At 37.2% G+C, this 16,908-nt stretch overlaps 1 protein-coding gene, 1 long non-coding RNA gene and 1 pseudogene across 35 annotated transcripts in view; 2 read left to right on the plus strand and 1 right to left on the minus strand.

Moving 5' to 3' along the window:
• The window catches only part of CAPS2-AS1 (CAPS2 antisense RNA 1), a 40,096-nt gene extending 32,036 nt beyond the window's left edge, over positions 1-8,060 (plus strand). For both annotated transcript variants that reach the window (XR_001749212.2, XR_001749213.2), the window contains 2 exons: positions 4,818-4,943; positions 7,975-8,060. This is a non-coding gene — a long non-coding RNA (CAPS2 antisense RNA 1). The remainder of the gene's footprint in view (positions 1-4,817; positions 4,944-7,974) is intronic.
• CAPS2 (calcyphosine 2) overlaps positions 1-16,908 on the minus strand; it is a 114,923-nt gene that overhangs the window by 14,247 nt on the left and 83,768 nt on the right. For 22 of the 33 annotated variants that reach the window (XR_944789.2, XM_011538888.1, NM_001355030.2 and 19 more), the window contains 6 exons: positions 14,532-14,651; positions 9,612-9,686; positions 8,646-8,741; positions 8,462-8,555; positions 3,024-3,142; positions 1,519-1,595 (listed from right to left, as the gene is read on the minus strand). Coding sequence is in view for 25 of the 33 variants with exons in the window: in XM_011538888.1 (XP_011537190.1) it covers positions 1,519-1,595; positions 3,024-3,142; positions 8,462-8,555; positions 8,646-8,741; positions 9,612-9,686; positions 14,532-14,651 (581 nt within the window). In the remaining 8 variants the exon portion in view is untranslated. The remainder of the gene's footprint in view (positions 1-1,518; positions 1,596-3,023; positions 3,143-8,461; positions 8,556-8,645; positions 8,742-9,611; positions 9,687-14,531; positions 14,652-16,908) is intronic. The other 11 variants (NR_149156.2, NR_149158.2, NR_149155.2 and 8 more) reach the window with 2 other exon arrangements.
• On the plus strand, positions 15,140-16,334 carry LOC100419702 (necdin, MAGE family member pseudogene; annotated as a pseudogene).

Below are 16,908 nucleotides of genomic sequence, written 5' to 3' on the forward strand. Positions count from 1 at the left end.
ATAGTTTGAAATCTTCAAATTGTAACTTCTATACAAAATAGCATCAAAGCTTTTGAATTCTATCCTATACTTATATATTTCATAAGAGGTTATTTGCTTAGATCCCTAGCATTCTCTTTGTAGCTGTTATTTCACTTAATGCACTTTGTACCATATTTACTTAAGAATAGATTGGTAACTTTACTAAAGCAGTTATTAGATATAATACATGAGAGAAAAAAACAAATGTCACCAAGTTCAATTGTGACAAATACTGTATTGACAATGATATAATAAACTGTTTACACACTTTGGCATCAAGAACATATGAGAGTCCAAACGAAACTTTTCAAATCTGTTTCTTGCCTTCTTACTGTGAGCCCCTTATCTTTAAAAGATAAATCAGGATTCATGAAAATTCACAAATTAGGCCAAGTGTGATGGTTCATGACTATAATCCCAGCACTTTGTGAGGCCAAGGTGGGAGGATCACTTGAGCCCAGAAGTTCCAGACCAGCCTGGAGAACATAGCAAGACCCTGTCTCTACAAAAACATAAAAAAAAAGATTTAGCCGGGTGTGGTGGCATGCACTTGTAGTCCTGGCTACTCAGGAGGCTTGAGGCAAGGAGGCTCACTTGAAACCAGGAATCTGAGGCTGCAGTGAGCTGTGATTGTACTATTGCACTCCAGCCCAGGCAATGGAGCAAGGCTCTCTCTCAAAAAAAAAAACAAAAAAAAAACATAAATTACATGTTAATTTCTGTGATTGCTTATTCAATATCTTTCTCCATTTTATACTATGAGATCCAACAGAGTAACTGTCTAATCGAGTCTACCATACTGCATTTTCCCAAATTTGGAAAATGTTTAAGTATCCAAAACTGACATATATCTAATTTATTACCTACAACAACCCTGGAAATTTCATATGAGAAGTACTATCATCCCTATTTTAGAGATGAAGAAAGAGATGCAAGAGATTTCTCTAAAGTCATGTGTGTCTTGCACAACAGAGTCCAAACATCAATCTGGCTCCCAGTCTAGCTTTTTTTTCTTTTACACTAGGACACCACAAACCTCTTCAGGATGTTATCTAGTACATAAGACAAGTATTATATTACAAAAATTACTTTCACATTTTATTCAGTTTATGAGTAAAACCCATATTATCTAGTAATTTCTAAAACACTTAATTTTATAATTCATATAATACTAGTTAGGACCATTAAAGTAAGGAAAATCTTAAAACGTTTAGAAATCCTAAACAATAAAAGCATATATATATATATATATATATATATATATATATATATATATAGCTTATTTTAAAAAGTATATATATATATAGCTTATTTTTAAAAGTATATATATATATATATATATATATATATATATATATATATATATTCTTTTTTAAATAAGCAAAGGGTAAATATAAATCAAGTGCCACTGAGAAATATCTGGGAAAATGCTGTTTTACTGATTATAAAAAAGGACTGAAAATTCAAAGTACTTGAGAGTACAGTAATAACACATACCTTGAATTGCTTTGAAGACCAGCCTATCATTGGTTTCTTGAATGATTATATCATCCTCCTGTTCCATAGAAGCAGTTCTGCAATTGACATGTTCACAGGGATGAAATATATATATATTCTATTTTACAATCTTGAGTATAAAACCTCTAAGCTCTTCCCTGCTCCAGACTCAAAGAAGCTCTCAAACTTGGAAGAGTGCTTAGAATTTAATCAAGTCCCAACTCTGCCTGCTGCTTTGATGCCTAAGAAGATTAAACTGAGAGCTAAAATCCTTAAAATCTTACAAGGACTACTTGTAAAACTACTTGTTTTGTTTGTTTTTTGTTTGTTTGTTTGTTTTTGAGACAGAGTCTCGCTCTGTCACCCAGGCTGGAGTGCAGTGGCGAGATCTCGGCTCACTGCAACCTCCGCCTCCCAGGTTCAAGCGATTCTCTCACCTTAGCCTTGTGAGTAGCTGGGACTACAGGCACCTGCCACCACGCCCAGCTAATTTTTGTATTTTTTAGTAGAGACGGGATTTCACCATGTTGGCCAGGCTGGTCTCGAACTCTTGACCTTGTGATCCGCCCACCTCAGCCTCCCAAAGTGCTGGGATTACAGGAGTGAGCCGCTGCGCCTGGCCAACATTCATTTTGTAACAATTTTAATGTTTTAAACATTTAATTAAAACTATTAAATTTAAAAGCAATTTTACCTTGCAAAGCATAAAATGAAAAACTATTATTTTTAAAAGCCCCCTCAAATGCATTCATTTTTAGCAATATAGTAAATGATGAAGAAACACAGACTTCCTTACAGCCATTTTGTAGGATATAGCCTCTAATGTGTATATATATATAAAATATATATTATATATACATATTATATATGTATCTATACATATTATGTATGTATAGATCTATACATAATAGATCTATATATAATGTAATATAATCTATAATACATATATAATATGTATATATTATATATTATATATAATATCACAGGAATATATATTTTTTAATCAAAATATATATTCCTGTTATTAAAAAAATTCATTTTAAAAGCAATGTTTGATGTCTAGAACTAATTTTTCACTGTGCACTTTATCAATCAATGAATACTGTAAGCATATGGGACCCTCAGACTTTTTTAGATACTAAAAAAAAATCATAATAACAATGTGAAAAAATTGTTATAGTATTGTATTGATATCCTTTTTTAAATTTATTTCTTTTGGTAATACTTGGTAAAATAAAAGTGTTATAGCAAAGGCAAATTAATAAGGTATCTTTAACATAAAATTGAATATTTTCAAATATTTCATTGATTATAACTGTTCCCACACATGAAGTGTATTTGAGTACAAGATAGTACATAAAAAAGACATACGTAGCTATGCTTGTTTTTTCAAAATATAAACCTTAATGAAGTTATAAATACCTTATAGTAGAATGTCATTTTAAGATAATTTAAAAATAGTGTTTTCACCTACTTTCAAATTGCCAAATGCATATTTAACTTACTTGAGAGAATCCAAAGCTATTTGATCAATATTTGTGATTCGGAGTTTAAGTAATGTGTTTTCTTTGATGCTTTCTGGAAGGCTGAGATGATCAGAACTCAAAAATGTCAAGGTTGCACCCTAAACAAAAGAACAGATGAATGAAGCTAGAAAGCATGTAAGAAATAAAATATAACTAACATCAATTTTAAATAATGGATTTTGATTAATGTGACACGATATACTTTAACAAGGGTAAGAAGTATATTTGGAGAATGCTTATATGTATTTGGAGAAACTATATAGATAAACCAATATCTCTGTCAATCTCAGAAGTCTTCTATTTAACAATCCATGTGAACAAAAAAGTCAGCAATATAATAAACTCAGTTTGTTTAATGAGAATGAGAGGAAAAAAGAACAAATAATTTAATTTAAATTATGACCTCCCTGAATAGAGCTAATGGCCTACAGAATGACATACCACAAACTGAAGAACTGTGAAGATTTCTCATACTCTTTCACAGCTGAACTTTTGATGACAGATGTTGCCTAATTATAAAACCTAATTTCAACCTAATTAGAACTTCAAAACTTCAGCCACAAAATTCCTATCAAAAAATCTTATTCTAAACTTATAAAATGATTATTTTAATTTCTGAGCTGCTCAAATAAACAAAGCCAGTGTAAGGACAAATACCAAATATAATTTTTATTTTTTTTTGAGATGGAGTCTCGCACTGTCGCCCAGGCCGCAGTGCAGTGTCACGATCTCTGCTCACTGCAGCCTCTGACTCAGGGGTCCCAGAAATTCTCCTGCCTCAGTCTCCGAAGTAGCTGAGTTACAGGTGCCCACCACCACGCCCGGCTGGTTCTTATCTTTATTTTTTTGTATTTTTAATAGAGACGGGGTTTCACCATGTTGGTCAGGCTGGTTTCAAACTCCTGACCTCGTGATCCACTTGCCTGGGCCTCCCAAAGCGCTGGGATTACAGGTGTGAGCCACCACGCCTGGCCAACAAATACAAATTATAAATAGGGGCTTAATTCTGCCTGTTGAATATAAAGGAAGGATGTCCCTCCCCTCCATTTTCTCAGCACATTTACTTTACAGAATTTGTAATTGTAATGTAAGTACTTTCTCCTCTCTTTGAAATGTATACAAATACTTCTGAAAATTAGATAAGCCTGTTGTCAGCTTTATGACCTAGATAAGGCTTTCTCAAGGACCGGTGAGCCACTCTTTGAGTGTAAACAGCAAGGGAGAGAGCACTGTTATCTCCCAGTTTCTGTGAGAGGGTGGGAGCCTAACTTTCTTAGGCACCTTGCTCTAAGTGCAGAACCATCTCCTGTCACAAAGATATGAAAAGTTTGTTTTTTCCCCCTCCCCCACCTCGGATAAAGCCAATTAGCTAATACAGATAGTCACTCTAATTACCAGGTCAATCTAGGATAAACTATGTGTGACAAATGGTACCCCGGAGTCTTCTTACTTGAGGACTAGTTATTGTTTACACCAAAAACATGTATGTGTCGGGATAGGAAGGAGGTGAGCCCTTTCCTCCCCATCATAATGCTCATTGCCTACATCCCTGTAACAAAAGGCAAGTTTACAAGAGAATAGCAAAACAAATTTATTAACGTGCATAAGCATAGGAGTCATACCAAAAAAAGAAAAAGAAAAAAAGAAAGAAAACTCAAAGAGCCAGATGGCTGATACTTAAATAACCTCCTCACTGGGGAGAGGGAAATGGGGGAGGTTGTAAATGAATGGGCCTGGAAGACCAGACAGTGTTTTGTAAATGATTCCCTTTAGTTGCTGAATGGGACCAAAGGACAAACAATAGCCTGTGGACAAGTTATGAGAGGTGAAGACCCGCCTGTGTAACAGCGAGACCATGTCTCAATTGAAAAAGAAAAACAACAACAACAACAAACAGAGGTAAGATGAAAACTGAAAAAAGATTTCTCAATTTTTTTAGTTAAAGATTTAAACATATTTGACTACAAAACTTGGCAATATTTACCTATACTTCAAATTTAAAGCTTTGTGTTTTTTCCTGGTGGGCAAATATTTCACCTCCCCAGCATTTGGCAAATAAAGCCTTTTGGGAAACCAGCTAGCAAGATGCTGCACCACCATAACTGTCAGTATGATGGAAATCAGTGTATATCCAACATGGCCCTTTTGCACTTATTTAGTCTTTCATCCAGTCTTCACTGACTAAAAATCTGGACACATACGATGTTCGCTTTGTCTTCATGTTTTCAATACAAAAATAGAGATATTAAAAATATGGCTTCAGGAATAAGAGTGGTTTAGGCCCTTGTACAAGTTGCAGCTTATCACATTTAAATCCATTCATTAAATACATATGTACTCAGTGTCTTCTAAGTACTTGTCATTCTTCAGGTTGCTAGGAACATGGTAGTGGTCATGACAGGTAAGTCCTTACCTTCAAGGGTAGTTATACCATCATGTCAGAGAAAATAATGAATAGATAAAAATATACACATATAAGGTCAGGACTATGAAGAAAAACTAAGCCCACTAAAAGAACAGAGAAGGTATGTTCAGATTTGGACTCTTTCAGTCTTTAATCTTTTAGATCTTCATAATAGAATAACACCCAGAAATTAGGAAGTCTTTGGAGAAATTAGTGATCTTCTGATAGTATGAAAAACAAAACAAAAACCTAAAAGATATAAAGAAAAAACTACCAGAGATAGAAAAGAAGATATAAAAAGGAAGAGCCAAAGAATCTGCAATTCAGATTGGAAGATGGAGAACTATGAGTGATAAAGTGAAATATTATCCTGGATTTAGATTATAATAATCTGGGCAGAACACTTAGTAGAACACAGCAGTTTAGATTGACTTTTTAGTTGAGGGAGGGTAAGATTGAGGATGACAAGATTCAGAGTCTCCTGTAAATAATTATTATGTTAAGCAATTAAGAATATGTGATCTGTGTAACAGTGTTGTGTGTATACTTACATGTGTGCCTAAGGGTACAGTCTGTGTCAGTGCATATATGCGTGCATATGAGTAAATACATATGTGGGTACACTTTTTTTTTTTTTAGACAGAGTCTCGCTCTGTCACCCAGGTTGGAGTGCAGAGGCGCAATCTCAGCTCACTGCAAGCTCCGCCTCCTGGGTTCACGCCATTCTCCTGCCTCAGTCTCCCGAGTAGCTGGGACTACAGGTGCCCGCCACCATGCCCAACTAATTTTTTTGTATTTTTAGTAGAGACGGGGTTTCACTGTGTTAGCCAGGATGGTCTCAATCTCCTGACCTCGTGATCTGCCCCCCTCGGCCTCCCAAAGTGCTGGGATTACAGGCGTGAGCCACCGCACCCAGCGTGGTCTCACTTTTATGCAGGTGCATCTATGGGCACATGTGCACATTCATGTATTATCTTAAAAACTGGCACCAAAATTTCTTTTAAGGAGTGTTTAGAAAGACTTAATGGGGCATATAGATATGAAAAGGCAAGTTCCACAGCCACATCTGGAAAACAAAACAGAACACCACCACCAAAAAAAAAGAGGGATAGGGTTGAATATTTCTGCATAAAACAATAGAAGATTGGGGGCAGGAACAAGAGGTGGAAGAGTTAGAAAAATGGAGAAGAGTGCTTTTACTATGGGAAATATTCAAGGGATGTATTTTTAAAAGTAGGGATATCTAATAAATTGTAAAATGCTTACAATGCTACAATGTGAACCTCTTTTGATATCCCCTTCAAAATGTCTGCTCCACACACAGAGCATCACATATGTGGTTTATATGTAGCTGGCTGAATTTCTTTCCTTTCTCTCTTTCTTTCTTTCTTTTTTTCTTTCTTTCTTCTTTCCTTCTTTCTTTCTTTCTTTCCTTTCTTTCTTGGAAATCATAAAAAAGAACAGAGTTCCACATCCACTTCAAAGAAATATGGAATGAGGATAGTGAGAATAAATCATAAACTACACTAAATTTTTGGAGATATCAGCTCAAACTTTAAACTTGGAATATGCATTAAACATTCTTCTGCAGGTTGTGAAATGGGAGTCGAGCTGATTTTCTCTAGATCTCAAGAGGCAGGCTTGAGTGTCATATGTATAGTGTATAGTGTATTTAAGTATAAGATGTAAAATTTTTCCTCAACCCATACTTCTCCCTTAACTGGCCACCAAATTGTACTGACTCTACCTATCAAAGAATTTTTATTCTTCTAATTAGCTTCATAGCCAGAGTCATTTGCTTATTCAGGTTGCCATAATCTCTCTCCTAGATTAATATAATTCAATCCTATCCTGCCCTTGTGTATCTAGTCTTCAATTCCTTCCCCACATTGTAACCAGACAGATCTTTCAAAATCACAAATCTGATCATGCCACCTTCCCCCATTCCATCCACATCTTCTCTTCCAGTGACTCCCCAATACATGTTAGATAACTCTTTAACATGGGCTGCTTTTAATAAGCTCTGACTCATCTCTTGCCAACCTCCACCTTGAACTCTCCTCCAACCAGACTGAACTACTTCCAGTTCTCCAAATAAGTCATGTGCTCTCTTCCTTTTTGTTCTTAGAACAAGCTGTCTTCTCCACCTGGAAGCTTTTCCCCACCCTAACCTATTCCCTTATCCCAGCCTTGCTAACTCCTAGTCAAGGGTAGATGGCATTTTCTCTAGGAAGCCTCCTTTGATTCCACAAAACTAGGCCATCACCCCTCCTATCTGGCCCACATTGCCCCTCCTATCTGGCCCTCTTATCTATCTGTGTCTCCTATTAGACTGCCAGCTCCAAAAAAGCAGGGAATGAGTCTAACTTACTGTTCCATCTACAGATCTTAGGATAGAAACATATATTACCTGAATGATCACTGTGGATAGTGCTGTATTTTACTCACGATATAAAGTGTAAATATGATTTAAAATTTAAGAGCACTACACAAACTGTAACATTATCTATGCTCCACCCATTCTAGGGAATCCTTGTGACACACCACATGCCGGGAATTTCCCAAAGTGGGAAAATCACAAGGAAGATAGGCTATCCATCAAAAAAATGACAGCTCCAGAGGCCCATACCCCTTCACATGGAGGAAACTGTCCATCCTCGGAGGATAAACCTACTTTGGGTAATATTGAGATAGCCACTCACCCAATGACACAGCTTTGAAGAACTTTTCAAAGTACGAAGATACAACTTCATCTGGAGACAACCCATGTTGTGGAATGGGAAGGGGGGTGTTACAGAAAATAAATGATATGCTTGGATTCAGACTTGAGATTTGGGGCTGGGAAGCAGAAGCTCCTGGCAAAACATCAACCATTAGCCCACACAAATGACCCTGTTCAGGATGCAGGAGAGGAAATAAATTGAAGACTAGAAGCCCTACTCCTCCACCTCCATGGGACTCCACAAAATCCACCATCTGGTATTAAATGTGTGCACACACACACACCACTTACAACATAAAAATCACCAAGTCGGTATTGTTTTCCTTTTCTTCGTCCACACTGATGACTATAAATGCTTTTTTGAATAAAAGGAAGCACATTTGTTCTAGAAAGTAAATGAAAAAAAAATGGAAAGTTATTTAGCTTCTCTCGGAAGTGAACATCTCCAGAGTTCTAACAATGTTTAATGGCATACCTATTTTTCCCAAATTGTCGATATTCATAAATTGTAAGGGATTGGTCATGAGTGAAAAAGAACCCAATGAGCTCTCTGCAAGCATCACGTCCATTACTGGAAAAATAGAATGAAATCAAACATCTTCAAATAGAATAATTTTTAGATGAATTAACTAAAAAACATGTTCATCTCAAGAAGGATAGCTAACTCTCTTATGTATGTGGCAATGAGTGAAGGTTATGGGAAACTGTAGGGAAAACACAAAAACATAGCTTGCTGAAATGTCCACTAAAAGTTAGATTTGAATGCAGAAAAAAATAATCTTACACTGACATTAAAAGTGGATATATTTACGATGTACATTATTAATTCAACATAGACTTTTAAGACAATGTGAATTATCTTTAAAAGTGTTGAGGTTGCAAGAAGGCACCCATAGATACAAATTTATTATCTTTTATTGTCATAGAAAGCTTTAAATTCACTAAACAAATAAAATAATTTAAAATACACATTTTATCAGTAATATACAAAGAACATCAAGTAGAATTATTTATTACTGGAAATCTATAAGACTGAAATAATAGATTTAAAAATTATTTTCCTTGTCACTTACTGCACCTATCAATAATCTGTTAAATCATTAAGATAAAATTAAATAAAGCAGCTTATAAAACATTAGTTTTCAGTTTACAAAACTCTAGTAGTAATATAACTCTAAAAAATTCACTGCTGTTACTTTTTAAAAAATATTTAAATTCGCTTTAAAGATAACTTTTAATTAGAATGTTTTTCCTACAGATTCATATTTCCTATATTTTTATAACAGATTAATAGCTATTATTTTAAAATGTTTGTTCTAAATTCACGTATTTTTATTTAAATGACACAAACCTATATAATCTCATTACTGTCATTTCTATTCAAAAAGAGAATACGTTTTTATAATCATAGGATTAAAAATTTTAATAAAATCACAATTACCGTGATACGATCCTACCATCAAACTGTAATTTATGAGAAAGCACATTTTCAGTTAATGTAGAATGAGTTCTTATCCTGTTAAGAAATACATTTTGTCAGTAATTTTTCAAGATACCTATAACTTGATGGAAATTGTAAATGTACAAAAAAAGTTATGTTAATATTTTGAAACCACACAGATTGGATAACAATAAAGGTAAAAAAAAACTCTTTTTTTCAGATTGCTAATTGTAGCAGACACAAAAGAAATAACTCTGAGATATAGTATATAATACGTGAATGACTTTTATATTAGAATCTATAGCATCAAAGTGCTATAAAAGTAAATACTGAATAGAGATACAACATTTGCGACTGGCACTGTTGCAGGGCTATCTGAATGCCATTTCTAACCCTCTTCTTCTTTGCTTCCCTCACACCATAGAATTTGCTCTTAGCGGCCGGGCGCGGTGGCTCACACCTGTAATCCCAGCACTTAGGGAGGCCGAGGCGGGTGGATCACGAGGTCAGGAGATCGAGACCATCTGGCTAACACGGTGAAACCCCATCTCTACTAAAAATTACAAAAAATTAGCCGGGCGTGGTGGTGGGCGCCCGTAGTCTCAGCTACTCAGGAGGCTGAGGCAGGAGAATGGCGTGAACCCGGGAGGCGGAGCTTGCAGTGAGCCGAGATCGCGCCACTGCACTCCAGCCTGGGCGACAGAGCCAGACTCCGTCTCAAAAAAAAAAAAAAAAAAAAAAAAAAAAAGAATTTGCTCTTAGCATCTTGCAATTAAGGATGAGTAAGGGACCTAGTTCTGCCAGTAAGCTTCCAGGAAAGACTTTCTTTTGTCCTGGTAAGAGAGTGGCATGAGAAGAGTTCCTGCCTGTGAACGTGGCAGGGATGTGATGCTAGGAGCCACTATAGCCACCATGAGATCAATCCACCACATCAGAACGACCAAAAAGATATAGGAAAGCCAGCCTAGAGCGGTAACATCACTAAGCTACTGAACCAAAACCAGTAAATGCCTACCTCCAAGCAGCTAACTATATAAGAAAAATAAATCCTGACTTGTTTAAGCCACTATCAATCGGTTTTCAGTGATGTGTAGCTGAAAACATTCCTTACCAGAATAACTAAAGAGTGGGGAAGAGTGCTGAATGAAGTTCGAACTTTGTCACAGATCAATAGGTTATTTAATCTTTATGGCCTTCAGACAGTACTGAATGATCTCATAAAGGCTGCCAGCCCTAAAATTCTATTTAACAATATAAAGCAAAACCAAAACACCCTACTGCCAATAATCTCCTTTATATTAAGAGATCTGAAGACTAAATGATATATTTCTCCTTTGCTTCACAAATAATTTAATAATATTCCTTCCATAAAACTGCAGGTATAATGAAATGGCAGTAATGTAATTAGTAAGTAAGTGTGTGGGTCACTGGGATCTTGAAAGCTACACCTCTATAAAATCTAGGTATCTACAAAAAGGAAGCAGGGAACAGGAAACGTGAGCCTGCAAACCAAATGAGAGTTTGTAAGCACAGAGTAGAGCCATGGGAGTGTAACCATCTCAATTCAGTTTAATCTGCTGGGATTAATGTGTTTATTGAATGCCCACTATGTGCCTGAAACAATTCTAAATGCTGAGACAATAACAGCAACAGTACAGCTACCACTTATTGAGAATTTCCCAGATACTAGTCATTGTTAAAATCACTTTAATGTGTATTGGTTTATTTAATACTTATAATAACTCTGAGGTGTTATTATTCCCATTTTTCAAATAAATTTTACAGAAACATAGACAGATGAGTAAATTGTCCAGGGCCATATGATTAGTAAATGGCAGAGCTAGAAAAAACTTTGCTCTTAACCATTACATTATATTGCTTTTCAATAGTAAACAGAACTCACTTTAACAGTGACAAATGGAAGTAATAGCTTCAAGGGCCCTATAGTCTTCTTGAAAAGATAAAAGTAAATATGTATTTACATTATAAAATGCAAAGTGCCATGTTGGGTTTTAGATGCCCAATTGCTTTTAGGAACCCAAGTTCTCTACCAATACATAAAGAAGAATCAGAAAGACTGAAGATTAAAGTATGAATTTAGTATTGATAAAGCTACTAGAAACCATGGCTTAGGTATGCAGCAACCACAAGCTACTCCTTACCACTATAATTAAACAGACTAAGCCACTCATTTCCACTGGGGAGGGACCCTCTAAAACAATGCACAGGGCAGAATGTGCTGCTGCCTCCCAAACAAAGGGGAGAGGAAGGGCTGTACTACTCACGCCAATTCCTGCCTCTAAATTTATGTAGCAGAACTCTCTCCTCCTCTGGGAAAAATAAATGGGGCATAAGAGGAGTGAAAGCTAAAAATTCAATAATTCTAATCGATACCCCCACAGGATTTTTCATGGACCTAGATTAGCTTTAAACAAGCTGTAGGTATTTACTCTAATACAACGCAATACTAATTAAGATAGGATAATACTGACACAGGGAACAGATGATACTGAAGAAAAAGCCTAGAAACCAACCATGCATTTGGCATGCATATAAATATGTCATGTCATAACCATGCATATAACAACTTGACATATGACATATGTGGCATTACAAGTCAGAGGGAAAATGATTTAGTGGTAGGCAGAGATTATTTTTAAGGAATATACAAAGGACATTAACAATACAGGGAAAGAGGAAAACTGGCCTATGTTAAAACTCCTACTTCTAATTTTAGTTTTTGAGACAGATATAATCAAGAGAATGAAAAGGTAACTACAGAGTAGGAAAAGATATGTGCGACAAATATAGTTGAAAAAGGATTCATTTCTAAAACATGTAAATAAGATCCACAAATAAATATTAAGAAGACAGACAACTCAACAGGCTTGAATGGAAATTTTGTATGAAGATATCAAAATGGCCTATATACATATGGAAAAGTACTCAACTACATTAGTCTCCAGTGAAATGCAAATTAAAATCACTAATACACATCCATAAGAAGAACTCAAATAAAAAAAGGCAGACAATACCAAGCTCTGGCAAAGATATGGTGCAACAAGAACACTCATACTGCTACTGGTGGGAGTGTAAATTTCAGCAACCAGTTGGGAAAGCTATTTGGCTGCATCTTTCAAAGCTGAACATATGGATACTAAGTGGTCCAACAATTCTACTTCTAAGTATATACTCAGCAGAAATGAGTACATATGTTTACCAAAAGGCATGAACAAGGAAGTTCATAGCAGCACTATTCACAAAGAGCCAAATATCTATCAACCTCTGAATAGATAGGTTGTGGCATGTGGTATAATGAAATACTATACAACAATGAGAATAAAAAAAGACAACTACAAATAACACCATGGATAAAACTCACAAACCTAATGTTGGGTAAAAGAAGACAAACACATTTCACTATGTATATCAAAATATCATGTTGTACATCTTATATACAATTAAATTAACAAATAAGTGCCATTAGAGAGAAAAAACAAGCTGGACACAGAGTCTAGATTTCTTGTAATTTCATTTACATAAATTTCATAACCAGGCAGTTCTAATCTATGATATTAAGATAGAGAGGTTAACCTGGTATAGCAGGGGAAATGAATAGTAACTGGGAGGCAGCATAAGGGGAGGTTCGGGGTACTGGCAATTGTCTGTTTCTTGATCTGAGCATTTGGTACATGAGTGTTGTTCTGTTTTTGATAATTCCTATGTTGTGCACCTAAAATTTATTCACTGTGAATGTACGTTTTATTTCAATGAAAGTTGACTTTTAAAAAGGACAGTTTAGATGTGTGGTACATAAATGACGACCTCCTCTGGCCCAACATGTCTACATCCTAATCCTTGGAACATGGGAATACATTATATGGTAGAAGGGACATGGCATATGTGATAAATTAAGAACATTAAAATGGAGAGATTATTGGGATTATCTGGGTAGATTCAACGCACTCACACATGTCCTTATTGGAGGAACATAGAGAGAAATGTATCTATAGAAAAAGAGTGCCAGAGTGATGCAGCATAAGACCAGCTATTGAAGACTTTGAAGATGGAGGAAGGGGCCATGAGCCAAGGAATGAAGGCAGCTTCTAGAAGCTGCAAAAGGCAAGAAAATAGCTTCACCCCCACTAAAACCTCTAGAAGGAATGTAGCCCTATCAATCCCTTGATTTTAGGCATCTGAACTCCAGAACAATTAAACAATAAATCTGTGTTTTAGAATACTAAGCTCATGGTAATTGTTACAGCAGCAATAGGAAACTAACACATAATGCTTCCAAATATTTAAATGGATAAAAGCAATGGCTTTCAGAAAATAAGAATGGGACAAAACGATTAAAAAAAGATAAGAAAGTACTAAGAATTACAGTAGTCTGAAAATATAAAAAAGCTACTGTGGGTACTGGTAGATTTTTTTATGTCTACTAAAGCCGAGGTTAGATGTCAGTGAAACTGTTGAAGAATTTAAGTGGACAGCATCAGAGGATTGTAAAAGATCATACCAATTCTAAGGTTGAAAAAGCTACAACGTAAAATGCAAAACAAATCTTATAGTCAACACCAAGTTTTAATATGCCAATGAGATTTAGCCAGTATATATAGCACACGTAAAATTTCTCGGTAACTATATGATACATTTTCACATCCATTATCTCCAAAGGTTGTGGCTTTTTTTCCCCTAAATTACAAATAAAAAATCTGGAGGGCAAAGAGAGTAAAATAAGGTATTGCCCCTAATATCATGAAGTAGCAGAACTGGGAGCTGAACTCAAAAAATTCCACTTTTCTTTATATAGAAAAAAGTGAAACAAACACAAAAGCTCCAGCTAGACACAGAAGTACATTTTAAAAATACTTTTAGAACATAGTGCATCCTCATTTTATGTAATTAAAATCTTCTTACTTTGTTTCATGTAGTGTTCTTTTTCTAAATCGAAGAGGTGTCATCTTTGAATCTGGAAGGATATGATCACTTTCTTTTTGCTCAATGGCTAAATTTTGCTCTGGATCACTGATGACAGCCCTATACAGGAAAATAAAAAGTCCAACAATTAAATATGATCATGCATTACTTTAAAATTCACATATTTATAAGCAGTTCTAAAAGCTCATATACCAAATGCAAATTTACAACACTGTCAGAATATTTTTATTAAATAAATTTATTAAAAAATATTTTCCATAAGAAAGTAAATATTCCTATCTCTTTTTCCAGAAGTATTATCCAAAACGGAACTGAAATTTCGGAGGGAGCTAAGAGCTCCATGTTTTTATTTTACTATTCTTTAAACAAGCAGACACAGTGCTGGTTTCTGATCATGTGGGAGGTGTGTAGGAGAGAACACAGGTAAAGTAAAATAAAAATATAAAGCCATAAATGCCACAACAGAAATTCAATGAACAAACATAGAAGAGAATACCTTAATTCCTAGAAGACAGAGAGAAGAGTTTATGAAAGGCATCCTAGAAGAGGAGATATTTGCACTGATTCTTAAAAGGTGAGAGTACAAGACTTCCTCTCCAGGAGTCGGCGGAGGGAGGGCAGACTCAAAGTGCTCCTGGACGCAGAGGCTCTTGTCAGAGGGCACAGACCGGTTGGAACAAAGTAAGGATCTGAGCGACCCCAACTTTGCAGCCGAGGCCTCCAGCTCCGAGGTGCATAGCAACCCTAGGGTTCCGGTAGGCGTTCCTCCGTCCGCGACCCTGGCAGAGCCGCAGAGCCCTCCTCCAGACCCGACCACTGCCCCAGGCCCCGAGCGACCGGAAGGCTCAGCAGCAGGCCGCGGAGAAGGGCGGCGCCCACCAGGCCCCTAGCACTGCCCAGTCTGGCCCGGCACAGCTGCTGCAGAAGGCGCACGACGAGCTCGTGTGGTACATGCGGGTCAAGGACCAGAAGAAGATGATCATCTGGTTTCCAGACATGGTGAAGGATGTCGTCGGCAGCTACAATTAGTGATGGAGGGGCATATTCAGGCTCACCAGCCTCATCCTCGCCCAGGTGTTCGGGATGCACCGCAGAGGCTGACCAGGCTGCACCTGAGGCTGTCCAACCTCCACACCATGAAGTCTGCGCTGGTGAAAGCGCTGGAGCCCGAGGAGCATGGACAGGGTGGCTCTGAGCAACAGCAGGGTCCTGACAGGCCTCCTGCTCATGATCCTGAGCCTCATTCTACTTGAAGGGCCGCGGCGCCAGAGACAGCGCCGTCTAGAACGTGCTGCGCGTCCTGGGGCTGCGGCCCTGGAAGAAGCACTCCACCTTCCACATTCGGGAACGTGCGGAAGCTCATCACCGAGGAGTTCGTCCAGCAGAATTACCTGAAGTACCGGCCCGGCCCCTACGTGGAGCAGCTGGTGTTCCCGGGCCAGCCGCGAAATTACGAACATGCAAATCATGGAGTTCCTGGCCAGGCAGGCCTTCCGGATACTGGGAAGCTATGGAGGAGGCCAGAGCTCTGCGGGAGGCTAATCCCACTGCCTACTGCTCCTGTAACAGTGTCTCTGAGGACTAGCAAGGTCTGGAGGCCGGTGAATGGTTTCTGACCCTCACCAGGCCTGTGGAAGGGTGGGGGTGGGTCACTAGAGTATTCAGGATTTACAGTGCAGTATTCACGTGTAACTTTACAGTACAGTGCTTTTATAACTTTTAATGCAATGTTGTCATTTGGGTACTACTGTGTAGTGTTTAGGACATACGCATGTTTGTTTATAAGTAAGTTTGGTTGGCGCTTTCGCTTTCGTGCTACCTTTCTTGGATTTTTGTCCCAGAGACGTGCTAAACTGATGAAATATATTGAGAAAGTTTCCATCTTATTCTTTCGTATGGGACTGATGATGTGTATTGGGGTAGGCTGCTCCTGGAAAGTTTGGAAGAACTCACCAGCAAAGCTGGCCTAACCAAGAGAAAAGTCAAGGCCCCTCTCTTCATGACCTTGCTGGGCACAGAAAACATCCTCGCAGAGTGAACTGATTTGAACGGAACTGGCCTCAATGTGGGCACTTGGCACACTTTACTAAACACATTTTCAACCCCACCAGGAGTCAATGTTAAAGTAAACATTAAAGATTCTTGTGATATAATCCAAAAAAAAAATTGACTACAAGTTAGCACTCAGAGGAGAAGGAGTAAGGGTACCACAAGCAGAGGAACAATATGTGTACGGCCACAGGAGTAGACAGCACAGTGAGGACACACCTGAGGACTGAACACATTGTAATGGAGGAGAGTACAGACTCTGCAACTAGACTGCCTGGATTCAATCCTTGCCTGCCGCGATAATTAG

The sequence above is a fragment of the Homo sapiens genome, chromosome 12, assembly GCF_000001405.40.
Source record: "Homo sapiens chromosome 12, GRCh38.p14 Primary Assembly".
NCBI classification, from domain to species: Eukaryota; Metazoa; Chordata; class Mammalia; order Primates; family Hominidae; genus Homo; species Homo sapiens.